The 19715-nt window shown below is 33.8% G+C and overlaps 1 protein-coding gene across 79 annotated transcripts in view; it reads left to right on the forward strand.

Annotated features, from left to right (window-relative positions):
* Nucleotides 1-19715, forward strand: part of ARPP21 (cAMP regulated phosphoprotein 21) — a 155634-nt gene that overhangs the window by 44687 nt on the left and 91232 nt on the right. For 71 of the 79 annotated variants that reach the window (NR_170705.1, NR_169632.1, NR_169633.1 and 68 more), the window contains 5 exons: nucleotides 187-276; nucleotides 4200-4344; nucleotides 5768-5846; nucleotides 6542-6601; nucleotides 7326-7466. Coding sequence is in view for 69 of the 79 variants with exons in the window: in NM_001385489.1 (NP_001372418.1) it covers nucleotides 187-276; nucleotides 4200-4344; nucleotides 5768-5846; nucleotides 6542-6601; nucleotides 7326-7466 (515 nt within the window). In the remaining 10 variants the exon portion in view is untranslated. Of the gene's footprint in view, nucleotides 1-186; nucleotides 277-481; nucleotides 2349-4199; nucleotides 4345-5767; nucleotides 5847-6541; nucleotides 6602-7325; nucleotides 7467-14322; nucleotides 14473-19715 lie in introns of those variants that run through there. The other 8 variants (NM_001267616.2, NM_001267618.2, NM_001025069.1 and 5 more) reach the window with 4 other exon arrangements.

Consider the following 19715-nt stretch of genomic DNA (forward strand, 5'->3'; position numbering starts at 1 on the left):
CCATCAATACAGAGGTATGATGCTTTGAGCCAATGTAGACAGTACTGATTGGCAGACTTGAAGTTTGGTTTTAAAAATCTCATTTGGGGAAGTTATGTAAATGTGGAGATGATTTGGCAGTCTGAGAATGCTTCCTGTTTGTTTTCTTTATTTTCCTTTCCTTCCCTTTTCTTTCCCCCCTCCTAGTCAGGAGCAGGAAAAGGTAAACTGACTCGCAGCCTTGCTGTCTGTGAGGAATCTTCTGCCAGACCAGGAGGTGAAAGTCTTCAGGATCAGGTATATCCCCTTGCCATTATCATTAATTGCATGAATGGGATCCACCTTTGTGTGCATGACTCTTAATTTGGTGTTAAACAGTGTTTTGGGGGAGAAAAATATAATTGAAGAAAATAATTCATTTTTTGGCTTTATCCCCTGCTTATGCAACATTCTAAAATAGTTTAATGGTTTGTCACAGAGTATTAAATTTGTTTTTTTCCAGACTCTCTGAAAACTGCAAATGGAAAGGAATTCAAAAGAATTTAGATTAAAAGTTAAATAAAAAGTAGGCACAGTAGTGCTGAATTTTCCTCAAAGGCTCTCTTTTGATAAGGCTGAACCAAATATAATCCCAAGTATCCTCTCTCCTTCCTTGTTGGAGATGTCTTACCTCTCAGCTCCCCAAAATGCACTTGCCTATAAGAAACACAATTGCTGGTTCATATGAAACTTAGGAAATAGTGAATAAGGTGCATTTAACTTTGGAGAAATACTTTTATGGCTTTGGTGGAGATTTCTCAATACTGCAAAAGTTGTCCAGAAATGAATCTGAGCTGATGGTGACTTTAAGTTAATATTATTAATATATCACTGCATATTTTTACCCTTATTTTTGCTCCTTACAGCAAGATTAGTAGGTTATAAAAATTTAAATTTAAACAAAATTATTTCATGACAAAATGGGAAACTTCACATCATACTTATTTTTGTTTGCCTTTCAGGCATCATATTAGCTTTTATAAAAAATGGTCTTGCTGCTGAAATTGTACTTATTTTATCAGAGGCTGGGTGCAGTCAAGACAAAAGTAAAATGGTTTACCTGAGCCCAGGGGAGGGAAAATTGATTAAGATATCATTATTTTTGTTTGGTTTGGTTTTGCTTTTTTCCTCTTACTTTAATTGAAATACTCTGAATTCCCCTCATGGAAACAGAGAGCATTGAGAGCACTTTCTTTAAAAGGACCAAAAATAAATTCCTAATAGATTTTGTCCTAAGAGAGTGTTTTTTTTTCTAGCATCATTTTCTTTACATGCCACTCATGTCATAAGGCATGGACAGGCTATCTTTCAGTGGCCATTACTATGTTTCGTACACATGCTTTATTTTACTTGGGCTCTGAGAAATGTGTGGCTTTCCTTCAGCATTTTATTTGTGCTTCTCTTTTTAATGGAGATTGAAAAGGGAGAATAATGTGAATATCACGGCTTATATTATTAAATGTTGATTGATGGCTTGTAATGTACTGCACACAATATATGTTAACTCTGCAGAATGACAGACCCTGGGAGAAGTAATGCCCCAGTTGTCCCCCACTCCTAATGCCAGGCAGAGAAGGACAGCCTTTATAGACTTAATCTGCTTTTTGTCCCATTTGACAAGGTACCAGGAGGAAATTTTTTAAGGGATCAACTGTATCACAGTGCCCACTCTGGACCTAAGTCTAGTGTATCCATACAATTGGTGCAGAGAAATAAGGTGTAAATGGTGCTTTGTTCCTGCTGGTTCCAAGCTCAGAAACCAAGACTAGCTTTGTAGGAGAGAATGAGAGCCTGCAAGCCTCTCTTTGGATTGGCTGAGGAGTGGTGGGAGCAGGGGGTTGATAGAAAACATCCAGACACACATATAAGCAAGTGGCCGTGCTACCTTTTTAGAGAATAAAGAAACAGACTTTTGAGTTTATATGCAATGCCTTCATTAGGTACCACCGGCACTTACAAAATGTGCGGACTGAATCCCAGAGAACACTGGCAGATGTATACAGTATATGGATTGTATCGCTTCCCCAATGTTTGTAAATTCACAGTATTTGGAAAACTGCCTTCATTTTCCAGTGTGGGAAAAACTCTTGCTACCTGTATTACTTGATCTCAGACCCATACCTGATGGTTCAGTCTGTCCTTAAGTTAAAAGAATTTTGCTTTTCTAATGTTATACTATTTACCTGTCAGTGTATTACTGCAACTTGAATCACTCTTTTACTGTTGTTGGATATAAACTTATCCTGTACCAATGTATTTATTAACACTTGTATTTTATTATTGAGCATATCAATAAAAATATTAAAAAATAACAGATTGTTTTTTACCAACTCTATAGCACTTTTGTGTGTTCTTTCAACACCGTAATATATATGCATAGAAAAGATATTTTTTTTCCTGAGTATAGTATTTGTCAACACATGGCATCAGTTTGTACATTTTTTTATAGTGGATATTCTTTAGCCTCTGCTCATGCATTTATAATATATGTCCAAGCCTCTATGATTTTAGATTCATACATACAGAGGCTGGTTGTTTCAGTCAGTTTTGAAGAAGCAATGAGATGACCTTCGTGGCCTGGGAGCCCTCAGTTTCCCTTGATGATTAACTGTCAAACTGAATCTTCCCCACCTCAGCCACGTCTTCTGGACCAGAAATGTCCCAGTGATTTCTTTAGCAAGTAGAAGCAAATCCTATCCCTAGAACCTGCCTGAACCTTTGCATATTAAGACATTTCTGTCCCAAACTGCAATAAATGACTCTATAATCAAATTACACTCAGGTTTTACAAAGTTTATATATGTACATCCCCAGGAAAAATGTGTTGAAGTTGGAAAACTCAGCTAAGATATTTATGATGAAAGTATGTTTTATTTCATCATTTATATTGCGTGACATTATAAGCATAGTGAAACAGGGAGTTCACAGTGGAGCCCCTTCCATAAAAGAAACTTAGCTTCAGAGAACTTTTCTTTATGCTTGTTAGATTAGCCAGGTTTACTGAGAACCATTAAGAATCCCAAATTTGAGAGGGTACAAGCATCAATTTAGTCACATGTAGTGTGAGCATTAGTTTAATTTTCAGTGAGAGACATTATTAGTCATTGGGATTATTTTTTCCTACATCATAAATTTTAATGTCACTAGTGGAAGAAAGCTTTGCCATCAAATGATCTCTTACATAAGAATAAGTGGGCTTAACGTTGGTTAATTTGTCATAGTTTTAATCATAGCATAGGTTTTACATAAAACTGAAAAATATGATTTGGCTCATTCTTCTTCAAAACAGTGAACATACTATCAATCAAATTGCTGATATATGTGAGTTAATACAAAATAATCTATTTTCAGTGCAAAATAAATAAGAATAAAAGTGGATCCAGTCCCAATGCTGTAAATGGCCAATCTTAAATCAAACATCATTTCAAGACAATATTATATTTTGGAAAGGACTAACTGATGCTAAAATAAAATAATATTAAATTTTATATATTATTTATGAAAAATATAATTCTACTTCCTACCTTTTCTAAAAGGCAATGCTTATTGTAACTATTCATTATAATGATTTATTAGTAGTATTTATAAACAATTATAATAAGTTTATACCTAGAATTCCTGCAATTCTATAGTCTGCTTTTTCATAGTAGTAGAAATCATTGTTGACCTGGGTCTAAAATTGAGTTTTTAATTGTAAATTCAGTAATAGGGGCTTTCTTTATGTCTGTTCTATTTGTAATTATGATTCCTAGTATATGTCTGTCTTTGTGCCAATTTCCCCTTATAAGGAATTATAGAATAGAACTACGGAGGACTTTTTTTTTTTAATACAATGGCTGTGATGAGAGCTTACTGATAAAGAAATTTTTTCTAGATGTTTAAAAATAAACCTGTAGAAAAAAATAAGTATTGTGATCTACAGGAATTCAACTTGGTTAAGGTTAATATTCATAAGGCAAAGTTTTAGTACTAGATGTTCCTTATGACCTCCCATTGACTCCTGAAGATTAAGTCATTTTAAAGGGCAATTAATTTCCTGACAGGTTTAATTTTTACCATTTAGAAAAAAAAAATCTGCACCTGGTTTTCATTTTTCTATACTTTATAACCTCTATGCAAAATGGGAGCCAGACAGAGATGATTAAACCTGGCCCTAAATTATTATATTTTTTCCCCAACAGGAATCAATTCATTTACAGCTTTCCAGTTTTTCCAGCCTGCAAGAGGAGGATAAATCTAGGAAAGATGACTCTGAAAGAGAAAAAGAAAAGGATAAAAACAAAGATAAAACCTCTGAAAAACCCAAGATCAGAATGTTATCAAAAGGTGAATGTGAAAATATTTCCTTAACTTACTCAATTTGGGCACACACATAGTCACAGAACACATTCTAGATTTCACATGCATATTCACCTCCCACCAAACCCTGCATATGATTCTATACGTGTACGTATCTGTGTGTGTGTAAAAAATGTGAACTTGATTTTCTTTCTGTTTATAGTGTCATTACTTGTGTTGCTAGACAGGTTATTTTTAGGATCACATATTTCTTTGGATTCACATTTTAATCTTCTGTTTTCAGTGACAAGCTTGTACAAGGAATAAATATAAATCTGCCCTAAATTTAGGTTTCTTGGACCGATTAACTTGGATTGGTGAACAGTAATGATACCAAGTTTGATATCTTAACTCTCATGTTTATCTTAAAAGACAGAGAGTGGATTAGCAATTCTCAGTTCATAAGTGATATGGTCCCCAAAGTACAGATGTATATGTCAACGGAATACATGATTCACATTTTATCTGGCTCAGAATTTAGTCTCTGAACCCATCTACTATCAAGTAATGTTTATTTAAGAAATACCCACTTCTACTTCAATAAATCACTGTGCAAAAAGTCATACATTTACAAACTCAAAACCTACAGTCCAAACTGTCCAAATTTTTGCCATACCTATCATGGTACAAAACAAAACTAAGTTGAAATGAAGAGTACCATGAGTAAACAGGCTTGCAGTAGACTTAAACAAACAAACAAACAAACTGGACAACTGGGAAAGAATAGAGCATCTGGTCAACTGAGAAATGACAACCGCCTCTAACAGTTATGTGTTCTATAACCATACATCTGCTTATAATTGTTGTTTCTGCTGAGGAATATCTAAAATCCAAGGTGTATATGACAGTAAAGAAGTTCAGGTTTCTAAAACAGTTTTAGAAATTAAGCTTTGGACAGCATTAGGATATTTAAAAGTCTTGGGAATATTTAGTGTCCTCCTGTATTTTGTACCGATTAATAGATAGTCTCATAACAGAACATTCATTTTTTTTTTTTTGCCTTCTTTGTTTTAAGAGAAAAAGGGTTCCATGGGATCTCAAACTCTTGAGAGCTCTCTCTGTAGGTGGGAGTTCTGTCATGTGGGGTTTGTGCCCTTGTTATTTACAATGCAGAATGAACACGTGATATTTGACTCCACCTCTCCCCCACACCCAGACTGTGCCCACTTCCCCTCCTATGACATTTGGATCTTTCCATATTCAGGATTTATTGGGTGTTTTCAATCCCGGAATCTAATTTTCATTCTGATGTTATATTGCCAGATTGCTAGTTTTGAAACATGTATTTTTATACCAACAGCTTCACCTAAAATTTATCTGAGCAGGGGGAAACAGGATAGGTTGGGGAAACCTTTTCTACCCCACCTTTCCACCATCATTCCTGACAGCTCCGTCCTGCTATTTGTTTCAGATTGCAGCCAAGAATACACGGATTCTACAGGCATAGACTTACACGAGTTTCTGATTAACACATTAAAGAATAATTCCAGGTAAATTATTAAATGAGCCTCTTATTTTTAGAAGGATCAAATAGAATATTACAATCAAAGTTATTAATCCAACACTTCTAAGAAAGCCATTGTGAAATGCAGATACCTTCCCTGACGTCTTAAACTGTCTCCTGTATTTTTTTTCTACTAATCGTTTGCATGTTTACTTTTTATAGAGAGTCTTAGTAACTGGGTAGTTACCCAATTAATAAATTATACTTTAACAGTTCTGCTTTTCAGATCACAAAGAGATACTGGCTAAGGTGGAAAAATAGCAAATAAAAATTATTGTTGTCAAATAAGCCAATTATGTTTTAATGCAGCTATGTATTCATTTACAGTCAATACTTGGCCTTCGTTTTGTTCCAGTTTCCTATTTATTTGAAATATACTATTTATTTGATGGGTTTTTTGATCCTAGTACTTTGCATGCCATAATTAACATTAAGACTACAAAATTTAGATATTTCAATATACTTAACAAATAAGATAAGGAATACTCTTAAACAATGAAATAAATTGTAATGAATGAAATGAAATAATATGTAAATGGTCAGCATATTCCAAAGAAGAGTTAGGTATAAGTTTGTAGCAGCATACATTTAAGTAATCTTTTCCATACATTTAATTAATTCTTTAGGTTTTTGGAAGTGGAACATACATAAAACCTTTTAAATTTAACATTTATTTTGCAGGGACAGGATGATACTTTTGAAAATGGAGCAGGAAATTATTGATTTCATTGCTGACAACAAGTATGTTAAACTTCAATGCTGGTTAATTTGATCATGTATCCTAGTTTGGTATTGGAGTTAAATTGTCCATTCTGGAAAGACTTAGGGATAGACAAAACATTGTTTAATATGTTCCTTGATTTGTTAAATGGAGACATTATTGGAGTTAGGACTATACGCTGATGAGAATTGTTGCTTGGACCATGTGTGCTTCTGCTTGTTAAATTCCTGACAAAATGGCTATAAACAGTGGGCCACTGATTAGCATAGAGTAGCTGTAACAAGAAGAGACCCTTTTCATTTTTATTATAGTTTTTTAATGGGCTCCAGCTGGCTGCAGTCAGTTATGCCTGGAAATAATTGTGCTGCTTCAGTATAAACCGTGTAATGACACATCTCCATATAGACATCTGCAATCACGTATTATGTCACATCATTTGTCCTGTGCCTGGCCCCGTTGATAAGGTATCATGGACTAAAATACAATACTGTCCAACAGACATTACATTCTCTTTGGCAAGAGAAATGTGCAACTATGAAACAAAGATGTTTATTGTGGCTTAATCAATAAATCTATAATAAGTAGAAAATTTTTCTAGAAATTAGGACATTAAGTGATGCCAGAAATGCAATAGGCTTAGTGGTTTAGATGAAGAAGAAATAGTTTTGTGTGTATACTTGTAAAAAGGTATTATGGGCAAAAAATGAAAATGCTGATTCCACTTTTTCTTGAATTATGTTCTAGTAATCATTATAAAAAGTTCCCTCAGATGTCATCGTATCAGAGGATGCTTGTCCATCGAGTGGCAGCTTATTTTGGATTGGATCACAATGTGGATCAAACAGGAAAATCTGTTATCATCAACAAGACCAGCAGCACCAGAATGTAAGCCCCATCACTGTACTTATTTAGCATTTTCTTTTTCTCCTATGGATTCATTTATAAGATCACAGTATAAAATTCACAGTACATGACATTTAAAATGTGCAGTGTTATTTATCTCTTGCTCTTATCAGAAGTAGTGTGGCATTTATCTGTAGAAGATTATCTGAGAACCAAGAAAGTTTATAAAATTCAGACAATAAAGTGGATTTATTTCCTGCTCTTTTACATAGCTCCTGAAACATAATTTTCTTTCTTCCATCAGTACTCTATGAAATTACATACAAAGCTGTGAAAAATTTTGTCAAAATATAACTTAAATTAAAAACAATAGATATTTTTAAATGACCATGACATACACAGAATAATTGTTATTTTCTTTCTTCTTTCTTCTGCTTTTTTAGACATCTATCTTATTGTAGTTTCTGGAGTAATAAAAAGCTCCGAACCTAGAGGCAGAAATCCTGCCTCTAAAACCCAATTCTACTTACTAGTTGTGTGACTTGGAGCAAGTCATTTAAAATCTGCCATCTCAGTTTTTTCACCTGTAAAATGAGAGTTTTAAGCTAGATGAAACATCTAAGACTTAGCTCTAAAAAGAGGATGACAAGTTTTTTCCCCCTAAAATAATTGTTTGTTTTTCTCTTAATACCGGTTCATTGTTTCACTGAGTCACCAAAAGCATAATAACATGAGTAGTCATTTGCTTTGAAGCTTGGAGCTGTTTTTCTTGAACCTATATATCTTTGGAGTACCATACAAGCCAATTTTATAACAAAAGGCATGTTAAACTAAAAAAACTGCCCACATAAAGCATCCATTTTTATAATTTTCTTTTTTCACAATGTGCTTGGTAAACCGTAAATTGCATGCTCTTTAGAAATGTTACTGAAGGGAGCTTTTGTGTCAAGCAGAGTATCATGGTTAAAATACTCTATATTTTCTGCTCACCAGAGGTTGGGACAAGTGGGGATGGAGATGAGGCGCTTTCTCAACTCAAGCATCAGTCTGTGCTCAGCAGAGGTCGGGGGAAAGTCATAGTGAAGAGAGCACAAACTGAGAGATCTGGGACCAAGCATGGCTATTATTAATATCTCAGGGACAATGAGCACTCCACTTCTGTGGGCTTCAAATTACTTATATATCTGCAGGATAGTTTGAACTGAATCGTGTTTAAGGGCCCTTGAAGTTTCAGAATCATTCAGTCCTGTAGTTGCATTCTACTGTGTTAGCAAAACACATTTTAAAAATTTATCAGGTTCCTATTTTATCTGGTTGTTTACACATGTGCCTCATATTTGAATAGTAGTAAAAATTAAAGGTAACTTTTAGAATCCTTTATATCTTCCCTCTCCATGCAATACTCTTTGTTGTTGTTGTGTTGTTGTTTCTTATTCTTCATTTTTTAATGGCTTTTAGATATCATCATGCAGGGACATGCTGATTGCAAAATAGAAAAGCAGTTGACTACTTCCTTTTAATTTTTTTCTTCTTCTTTGTCTATAAGGTCATAGCAAACATGGAAAACTCCCATAGTTCAAGTATATTAAATGTGATACAGTTTCAACTGGTGGACAGTAGATTTATTTTTAACTTACACCAATTTTGCAATCACATAGTCATAAATACTGGTACATATGTTTTAGACATGTTTCCTCGGAGAATGGCTTTGAGAAAATTAAGCATTATATCAAGACTCCTGGTCATCTTTGAGTGCTGGCTCTAAACCTGATCTGCCCGGTATGGTAGCCAAATATGGCTATTTACATTTCAATTCACATTTATTAAATTTATATAAAATTTAAACTTTAAAATTCAGTTCCTCTATCAGGTGAGCCACATTTCAAGCAGCTATTGGATAGAGCAGATATGGAACACTGATATGATTTTAGAACTTTCTATTGATCAGCTCTTTTTAAATCCTTGTGTTTCCTGCAAGTTCCCAAATACCACTGGAGAACATAATTTGTCCTTTAAAACTTTTATTTTCTGGCTAGTAGGTATCATATTACTAGAATTTTTCACTTCTAGAAGAGTGCCAGCTTTTTTTTTAATTAATGGCCATTTAAAAATAGATGCCACATGTTTATACCTTTAGGAAGAGTTGAAAGTAAGTGTGTGCAGAGAACACCCTCTCGAAGGTACAACTGCTACAACAGGAAGGCCAGGGCTCAGTCTCTGGCTAACTCCTTACTCTTACACACCGCCATTTAGACACCCTTTCGTGAGTCAAAGCAAATCATGCCTAAATAAAAAAGGCAAATGACTGTATGTCATGGACTTTCAAGGTATTTACTGAAGTGTTGAGCTCAATAATGTTCAATTCATAGCTGTCATGTTCTACTGTTCTATTCTAACTACACTTCTGACCATCCTCTATTTGAGTGGCTGTTGAGGTATGGTGGTGGTTCATCCTCTATTTGAGTAGTTCTTGAGGTGGGGGTGGATAACTGATGTATTTTAGCACACGAAAAAAGAGGATGAATTAAATCTCTGTATCCAAATAGGAACAAATCACAGTTTTCAGAACCTGAATCATTGTCAGCAATTTTAGTGAAAAGAAGTGTTGTTTTGTGGAAAATTATGTTTGATTTTAAAAGTCTGTTGCCATGCTCTTTGGGGTTGAAGTTCAAAATGGGGCATTATATTCAAAACATTCTATTTAAGTTCTAAGTGTCTTGGTTTTTTTGGTTTTGTGAAAAACTTCAGAGTTGTCTTATCAGGGCAATCAACATGTGTTGGTCATGGGAACCATATTAACTTCAAAATATTTCTGGATTGAAATGTCTTCATTTATTTAAAGGAGGGAATACTGAGATGAGAATCCCATGTGAGTTTTGTGTTTGGGGAATACCTTTTCAATATCTAGAGTTTTAATGCTACTCCAGTGCAAACACATGAAATGCATATTTTAATGGCACTATAGTCTGAGAGAAATGCAGAAAAATGTGGATTGAGGGTATTTTTGTTTACTAAGAGGTAGAGGGAAAAAAAACTTCCTTTTATATTGTTCTTCTTCAGTGACACTTCAATACTACTCTGACATCATTGTTTAAATAATTGTAACTATTTCAGCTCCTTATTGGCTAGAATTTATTTCCCAGAATCCTGATTTTCTAGATGATAGGCAGGTTAAGTAACTATAGAATGTGACTTGAGAAGGTTGGGTTTTTCATGGAGAAGAAAGAATTTCACATAAAGTTCAAAATATTCAGATCATAACAATACATTCTGTGAGGATTACATATGTGTGTGTACTGCACTGACCTCTGGTATTTTTAATAATATACCCAGATATAATCTATCTGCTCTTTTATGATGAAAACAACTTGTCTCAGGATATACTTCTGTTTGTTAGATATCATCCCTTACTTATAATAACATTGCCTACAGCTAATTCATTTCGCCAAGCACTTTACATCTTGTAATAATATACATTTTCATGAGGTAAATGTATATTATTACATTTAATACAAAAAAACCTTACCATATAAATAATTAAAGCTTCATTTTGCAGAAGAAGAAAATTAGGCACAAACTGAGTTTTAGTTTGGGGCTTACAGGGAAGCAATGGTTAGCATGACTGGGACCTAAACCAATGTGTCTAATATCAAAAAGATTTTTTTTAATAATCTTATTCTCTTAAAGCAAAAATACCCAGAAATTATTGAGCAGAGCCTTCAAGAAGAGTCCCTGGATTGGCTAAAAATTGCAATCCTTTTAAGTCCTTTGTTGTCTGATAAAAAACAGTGATTGATGGACAAGATATTTTTGAAGATTAACTCAATGGTATCATTAAGTAACAGAGCCTCCCTACAACTTGATAGGTCTTGCTAGATTTGCTGTGCTTATTACTGCCACAAGATGTGATTTTTTGAAGGAAAGCATATATATATGCATTATATATAAATATATATTTAGATATTATACATAATATATATATTTATATAAATGTATATTATATATAAAGTTTAAATAAATATGAAGTTTAAATAAATATAAAAATGTAAGCTTTACTCCATTTCACTCTTTTTTTCTAAGAATGAAAAAGCCATATTTATTAATTATGTTCGTAAGAGGGGGTGAACCTCTTCATTTTGTTATTACAAAACTACTGCCACAGCAATCTGATTGTTCAACTCCATAGACTTATGCCACATCTACAAGAGCATCAAGTGCGGTGAGAAGCAATGAGACAAGATGGAAAGATAGTTGAAGTAAAGTCAACTGTCTAGAGATTTTACATTAATACATTCCAGGTTTCTGTAAATTACCTGATAAGAGCAGAGATGTTATGTTTTTGCAGTCATATAATATACACAGACAAAACTTTCCAGATACTGAAAACATATTTCCAGCAACTACAACTCACCAACAACAGACTTCGGTGGCGGTGGTCACACAAAAAATTACAAGATGGGATTCATGTCCTCAAACGTTTTACACTATAGTTATAGTGGGGGAATAACTTCAGAATCTCAGTCCTCTTAAAACTTGAAAAATGTAGTGCAACTCTTTGTAGATCCAAAGTAGACACGTAACAAATGTCTGGACAATAGCTCCATAACTGAAGGAACAGTATACCAAACATCCAGCAGAATGTATGTAACAGATTCATTGGGGACTACCTGCCCATCCATTTCATGGTTCAAATAGGCATTTAGGAAGGCTTTGAGAAAGGGTAAGACTTAAACAAATGTAGTAAGGAGGGGGATACATGGCAAGCTGGAGTATGGGCTATAAACGAACATAAGATAAAAATCTCTACATTTTTTTAACATTTACTAAGAGCTGGGCATTTTGTTGAGATGGTTGTGTTAGGTTTTCAGAGCCACCTAATGAAAAGGATTTTTTAAAATTATTTTTCTAACTTTACTGAAGAGAATATGTACCAAAGGGAAATTAGTGAATTGTCTAAAGTCATACTGCTGCACAGTGGCAGCAGGATGCTAATTCAGGATATTTGACCTCAAATCCAGGAGACTTTAAAATAATGCTCTACTGGCTGGAGGCAAATATGGAGAGAATGATATTGTCAATGACAGTAGGAGGCTACATAAGATTGAATAGAATCTTGAAGGCGGGCAGCTCTTAGAGCTTTAGAACATGAGGCTTGATGTGTATAACCTGATACTTTAGAAAGGTTAGTCTGGTATTGACTAATGGGATGTATTCAAAAGGAAATGACCAAGAGTAGAAAGACTTAGGTGAGTGCTGCTGTCACCAAGGCATGGGGCTGGAACATTTATGAAAAGTAGGAAATAATATTTGTGTTCATTTGGGAAACAGTTCAAGGTGGTACTGTCACCTGAGCAAACTGATGCCTTTAGAGAATTAGTAAAGGAAGTCATCTTTCCTCTGCAGCACTGCATTTTTGTTGGTGCTCAGAGCCAACCAGAGTAAGAACAGATTTGTGTATGTGACCAGTAGCCTCCAACTACACTTTTTGGTCTACAAATTGGGTCTTAATAGCTGGGACTCCTGTAACAAATAGAGTCACTGAGCTGAGAAGCCCTCCACGTTGTGTTCCTTCATCTTTAGTTAGTTCCTGTCTTCTATCCCATTGTAGGTTGCCAGAAATATGTTTTGCTCTGACACTTTTTTATTTTTTTATGGAATTTTTTGTCAGCTGTCAGATTAGGTGATGCTGCTGAATGAGACCCTTGCCAGGGTGAAGGTATTAGGGTCCATGTTATTTTGATATTATAAATGATATTTATAATAGATTTACTCTACATAATGTTACATTTTTGATATTTAGGATTTAGGTTAAAAATATGAATAGTGATCTTATCAAAATATTTTAAATGCCACAAATATGTGTGTCTTTCTATATAAGAAATTTTGCCCTTCTCTTTCTCTCACTTTCCGATCTTCAGTTTCTCTCTCTTTTACTCATTTTCTGTGTTTGACACAAAGCAGTTTATTGTTGTCCTGTTAGATATATTTTTAACCTTCCTCTTCTTCATCCCAGAGAAAGGAAGCACACTTAGAGTGTACCATTGGAGACTAGAAACCATCCTCTTGCACAAGTGTTTTCCAAAAAGCCAAGATCAGCCACAGGCAATGAGAATCCCATGTATTATCTGAATGTTTTTGCATATGTCAGAGCAACTGTTTAACTCATCCCAGATAATTTTCATGTTAAAAGATTGTCATCTTTTGAACATTTTTTGTCTTGTCTTTTACATCCACCCACTGTCATTGCCTCAAATCCCCTGCTCTGACAGTGCAGAGCAAATAAAGGAAATAGCAAATCCACTGAAAGAGAGTGGATACAGGCCCTAGAAACTGTGAAACAAAAATAGTGGCCGACAGGCATTGGTTTGAGGCTATACCTTAAGTGCCCAAGGACATATCCAGTGATCCTGAGAAGTGTGAGCCTGGGTATTTTGCCTGGAGTGATGAATGGTGTGTAGTGACTATGGCAGTTTGTTTGTTGTATGTTCCAGAAAGGATGAGTAACTGAGTTGGCTGTTTGGTAAATCATAAAAGCCATGAAACTCATTCTAGAACTAAACAAAGCTTCCCTATAGATAGAGCAATGGAAACCAATTGATTTTATTAAGAACCCCTGAAGTGATGGATAGTTATTACTACATCAGAAAGGAGGATCATGGGACTTTCCACTTTCTCAGTGGGTAGACCCAGACAACAGTGTACAGCAGTATGCCAAGGTCACAGAACATCTACTGTGCTTAGTTTTCTGAAGAGGCTAAAGCTGAAAATGGGAATCCTCGGTGTTTGGCCCTTAAGCATTTCACTCCCTGCAGGTGATTAAGTACATTTATAACAAAACAAAATAAAGCAAAATATGCTTTTCCTTCCGTGTTTATTATATTTATCTTCCTTTGGCTAGGAATGTGCGTGGCTCTGTGAATAAACTGAGCATCATCCTGATGTGGATGCTTCCTTAATCATCCTCTGAAGAAGACCAAGCATCAATTTATTTAAGTGCCTCTTAAAAATCTATGAGTGGTTGGTTGGCATCCTGTCATTTCTAAACATGGTAAATTTACTCTGCACTTTTTACAGGAATGGCAGTGAAAATCATCTGACTAGTTGCCAAAGATCAGAAACCTAAGAATCACATTGTTCTCAGGAAAACTATGAAACTTTATTTACTGAGCAAGACACTTCGTTTTTTAATCTATACTCAGGCTCAAAATGAGACGTATTTGTTCACATTGGTCAAACTCCATGTCATTTTCTTCAAATATTATATTTTCTCCATATTATTATTCTCAAATACCTTAGAGAATATAAGATTCTGTAGATGAGATAGGTAAATACTAGAAATATACCGTAAGAAGGAACATAAGTTTGTCGTATTCCTTTCCCTACTCGAAATTATTTATGAGCCTTTGAGTGTGAATGTATAATTAACTATTTTGAAAATGAAACATGCGTATATGTTCTATAACATAGTATCCTTAATATAATATTTTATAGAGATTTTCTGTGGAGTCATGATATGTTTAATAATTTTATCTATTTATTTATCTATTTTACTCATGACATCCTAGGTAGATAAAGCTAAGCCATTTTAAAGGAGAGAAAACTGAGATCCATCTCTTGTTCTTATCTAGTCAATTCACAGAAGACCAAGATCAAAATTCAGTACTACTGTCACTCAGCCATGACTCTTCTCCTAAAGTTAGAGAAAGAGGAATTAACATTAACAGGCTTAATACTCTTAAATAATGATGAAAGAGAAACAGAAGTAAACCAAGCACTGTTCTTTAACTCGTACCTATTGATTCACTTATACAAATTCTAATTTGCATTTTATTGCCTTTAAAATTCAGCAGAGAACCAAATTAAACAACATCGGTACTAAGTTAGATGGTAAAAATATGATGCCAAAAAAAAGTCTCCAGAATCACCGGACACACTGGATTCACAATTGCCTTGGCATACTTAGAAGTGACACAAAACTGTTTCATGTTCTTAAATTATGTCAGATGAAAATCATTTCTCAAGTGTTCGGTACTGCGCTTTGAACAAAAGAAGTATAGCCTATAGCACATGTTAATTCTTTTCACAGTTTATTTGAGGAGCCATGACAATTTTGATCAAGACTGTGTGTGTGTGTATGTGTGTGAATACATAGTATGTAACTACAGGAGTGTCTGTGTGTGTAAATACATACTACGTATCATACAGTTTAGAAGTTAAAAGTTCATCATACATATACCTACTAGAGATAGTATTGTCCTAAATGTATAATAGTTTTGGAAGAAGCAAGATTATTGTGGCTTGATTTCCTCAATCTGCATCTTTGCTTGCTATAGGCAGGAGAATTATGCCCAGTACCTGAGGGTTTCCCTTGTTTCTTCTAAATTCTCCTGTAGGGCTGACAGTGATTTTAGCACTTGTACTTTGGGAAGTTTTAGAGAATACTTGAAGGTGAGATTCTGGTTGTGTATAATGAATATGATAATAATAATAACATGTTTTAATGTTCAGTACAACTCTTCAAACAATAAATTGGAATCTATCAAGAGCAGTGCACATTTATGTAACACATTTTATCCCACAACCTGACTTCTTTCAATGTACAGCCCTTCAGGTACCACAGTGTTCTCAGAGGAGCATAGCCTTTAACTTCCCAATCTTCACTTCCCACCTTCTGGGCTTCAAGCCAGAAAAATGAAAAAAATATATATAGCTTTTATTTACACGTACCAAAAATATTTGGCAATTCCCTGTCAAGTAAACTACACTAGTAAGTCTGTACCTTCACTGGGACTGAAATACTGTATTTGCATATGGGCTTCAATGGAATGCTTTTTTATATAACATTACAATATATAAGCAGAAAGCCTTTTGTCTCAAAAAAACACAACAATTATATTCAACAGTTTCCAAAGAAAACATCACTTTCAGAAAAATATGACTGCCATATTTGGAAATACACAGATCAATCCATTATTTTAGTATTACAATACAGATTATATCTATCCTACTTAAGGTTAACTCTAAAGAAAATTTTGGATCAATAATAATGTTGTGCCTTTAGATTTTTTCTACTCAAAAAATATGAACGGTATAACCATAGTTTCTAAAATTTGTTAAGTGCTTTACTAGTGCCCAGCACTGGGCTTAGTAGCTTTCTCACATGATTGTGCATGTACGTAATCCTCCCAAGCAAGTTAAGTATTTTATTTTCTATTTTTTACAAGAAACCAAACAACAGCCCTCTCCCTCAGAGAGGTTAAATATATTGCAGAAAGTCACACAGTAAGATGCAGAGCTGAAAAGACGTAATTGTTTTTAGGCTTGCTTCTCAGTGTTATGTCTGTATGCTTTAAACTATTTTAGCTATTGAAACTATTGCTATTTCAAATATAGTATGCTAGTTTATGCCCATTTTATATAAAGAAATTAGGTTATGTATTAAAATGCAATGGTTGTTTTAAGGGAGTGGAGCTTTGAGTCATTGTATGTATTAATGCTACTATCATTTAATGTTCTTATAGCACTGAAATTGAAGGATGGAGAATTTAAAGAAAAAAAAAAAGTACACCAATACTTTATCCCTGATTTTAGTCAGTTTATTACCACTGATAAGAAAAGCCTGAGATTAGAAAACTTGCAAGAAATTAGTACCCTGGAGCTGAAGAAGAAATCACTCATCATCAGTTCAGTGTTGGAAGTGAAAAGAAGTGAATTCAACATGCAAAGTATTGTGCCTTTCTGTCAAAGTAGCACCAGAGAGAAGTAAATGATCAAATATATTGAACCAAATATCACATTTGTAGATTAACACTAGATTATTTGTTTATAGGTTTACTTAGAAAATACCACTGGAGCTTTTGAAAATTTTATTTTACTTTTTTTATTATACTTTCAGTTCTAGGGTACATGTCGGGCAGTGGGGGGCTGGGGGAGGAATAGCATTAGGAGAAATACCTAATATAAATGACGAGTTGATGGGTACAGCAAGCCAACATGGCACACGTATACCTATGTAACAAGCCTGCACGTTGTGCACATGTACCCTAGAGTTTTTGAAAATTCAAGGAGCCTAAAATTGTCCTAGGCTAATCCTAAATCTTAATCATGATTGAGATTGGTGATAAATCGATCAATGGAATCAATTTGGTGGAATCCTCAATTTTAGGCTAATCCAAAACATTTCAAGTTTTACATAGGGGCCAAACAATCTGTAAAATGATCCCCATGTAAAACTTGAAATGTTTTGATAATCTCAAGAACCTAGGCATATATTTGATGTTATCCTCATATTTTAGAATATATGTGTGCAGTATTTCCTAGATAATTCATATAAGATCATCCTCATATCATTTAGAAGAATTGCTGTTCTATAAAGTAATTTTTCTACTGTAGACATTATTTTCATTTGTGGAAATTCTAAGTATATAGGTAAACTTGAAGAAATAAGTCTGTTTTGTTAAGCTAAGTATATCTATCTGACCTGTGTGACTGTTAGGTGCTGTCGCCAACACCATGCTCAATATAGATAATCAAGCTCACGCACCTAGTATATAATATACCAGGTCTGAATTGCGGGTGATTACTTTCCCTTTTTAAAACTTCGTATTTTCCCCTTTTCTCTTATCCTTGCAATCTTTCTCTATAACATCATTATTTAGTATTCTCCTATAGATAAGAGAAAAGAGATCTTCAGAGTGGACAGTATGATTTAGTTATTCTCATTATATTATCATTAGTAAATGGATGTTTATATAGATAGATAAATCAAAAAGGACACAGCAATAAAGGGAGTGATTGACAGGGTAGGAGTGGTTGACATATACTAGATGGCCTTAGAAGCAGGGATCATAATTAAATCTGATATTTTTTAAAGTAGCAGCGCAGTAGAACAATTAAGAATTGATTTGACAAAACAAAATATCTAAATACCTATTTTAGGTGATTGTAATAATACATGCTATGAAAGAGCATGTTCTAAATATTCAAAATATGTGAATATGTTAAATATCTATTATCCAGTAATTGGATGCAAACCACTACTAAGTTGTTGAATTGGTTTTCTATCTTTTTAAGCTAATAATTTGCATTATTTTGTTGTTATACAATAATAATTATTTTCATAATCACAAATATATAAAAGGTTAAAATAAAATTGTCTGTTATCCCGCCATCAGACATACTTACTCCTAGCATTATTATTCTTACATATTATAGTTTCAACATAAATATGATCAAAGCATATTTATGTTTGTATTAATTGCTTTTCTATGTTACTCAATATTATTGGATATAATTTTATAGAGTCACATATCCTACATTACATACCTTAAATTACTTACCTAATCTACTATAGATTTTTCACTATTTTGCTGTTGTGAATGATGGAACTCTGCATTCATTTATTATTTTCTTTGGATTCATTATTAGAAATCGAACTACTTTGTCAGGACAAAATGATATTTAAAAATTTTTAAGTCTCCAAATCCACGTAGCCAAATTGTTTGCTACAGCAGAGGTACCGGTGTAAGAGATATCTTCCAAATGCATGTTGTTTTTAAATGTTGTGCTTAATGTTGTTGTTCATGAAAAGTCTTATGTTAAAGGAGAGTCAAAGAGTTGGTTTGCATTCCTCTGCTTATATATACAGTACACTATAGAAACAGAGAAGAATAAAATGAATTTTGCAAGGGTGTTTCAAAATTTGGAACAAGAGTTTGAGAGATGCTAATAAAGAACATTGGCTACTTAGCACTGCACATATTAAGTTTATAAGGTATAGTCTCATTTAAAAGAAAATGAGGTGGTATAAAATGACAAACTGATAATGCAAATTGTGAGATACACTTATTTAAAAAGAAGAACTAAGACTTTCCTATTTTCAATAAAATACATCCAAAATGTACATACTTTTAATTGAAAATTTTTGAAATATTAAGGGAACAGTGTCATTAGATTTCTCTAATTTGTTTGACTATTAAAGTGCTTTTGATAGGTGTCTTACACCATCAAAATACTTTATACTGTTGTGCATAGAAACTTTTAATTTTATGAGATACGTATACATATTGGTAACCACCTTTCAGTTACTCAGGGTGAAATTCAAGACTTTTCTCTATGACTCTACATATTCAGTAGAATTAAATTCTTCATTTATGTTTGGAAAATAAGGGAAGGATTAAGGTTAACTATTTGGAAGAAAAGTAATAAATCTGGTCTTAAGAACCTGACTGTAAGGTAAACTATTAAAATACTTCAAGATAAGAAAGATTAAAAATACTAATAATAATGAGT

Source organism: Homo sapiens, chromosome 3, assembly GCF_000001405.40.
Source record: "Homo sapiens chromosome 3, GRCh38.p14 Primary Assembly".
In the NCBI taxonomy this organism is placed as follows: Eukaryota; Metazoa; Chordata; class Mammalia; order Primates; family Hominidae; genus Homo; species Homo sapiens.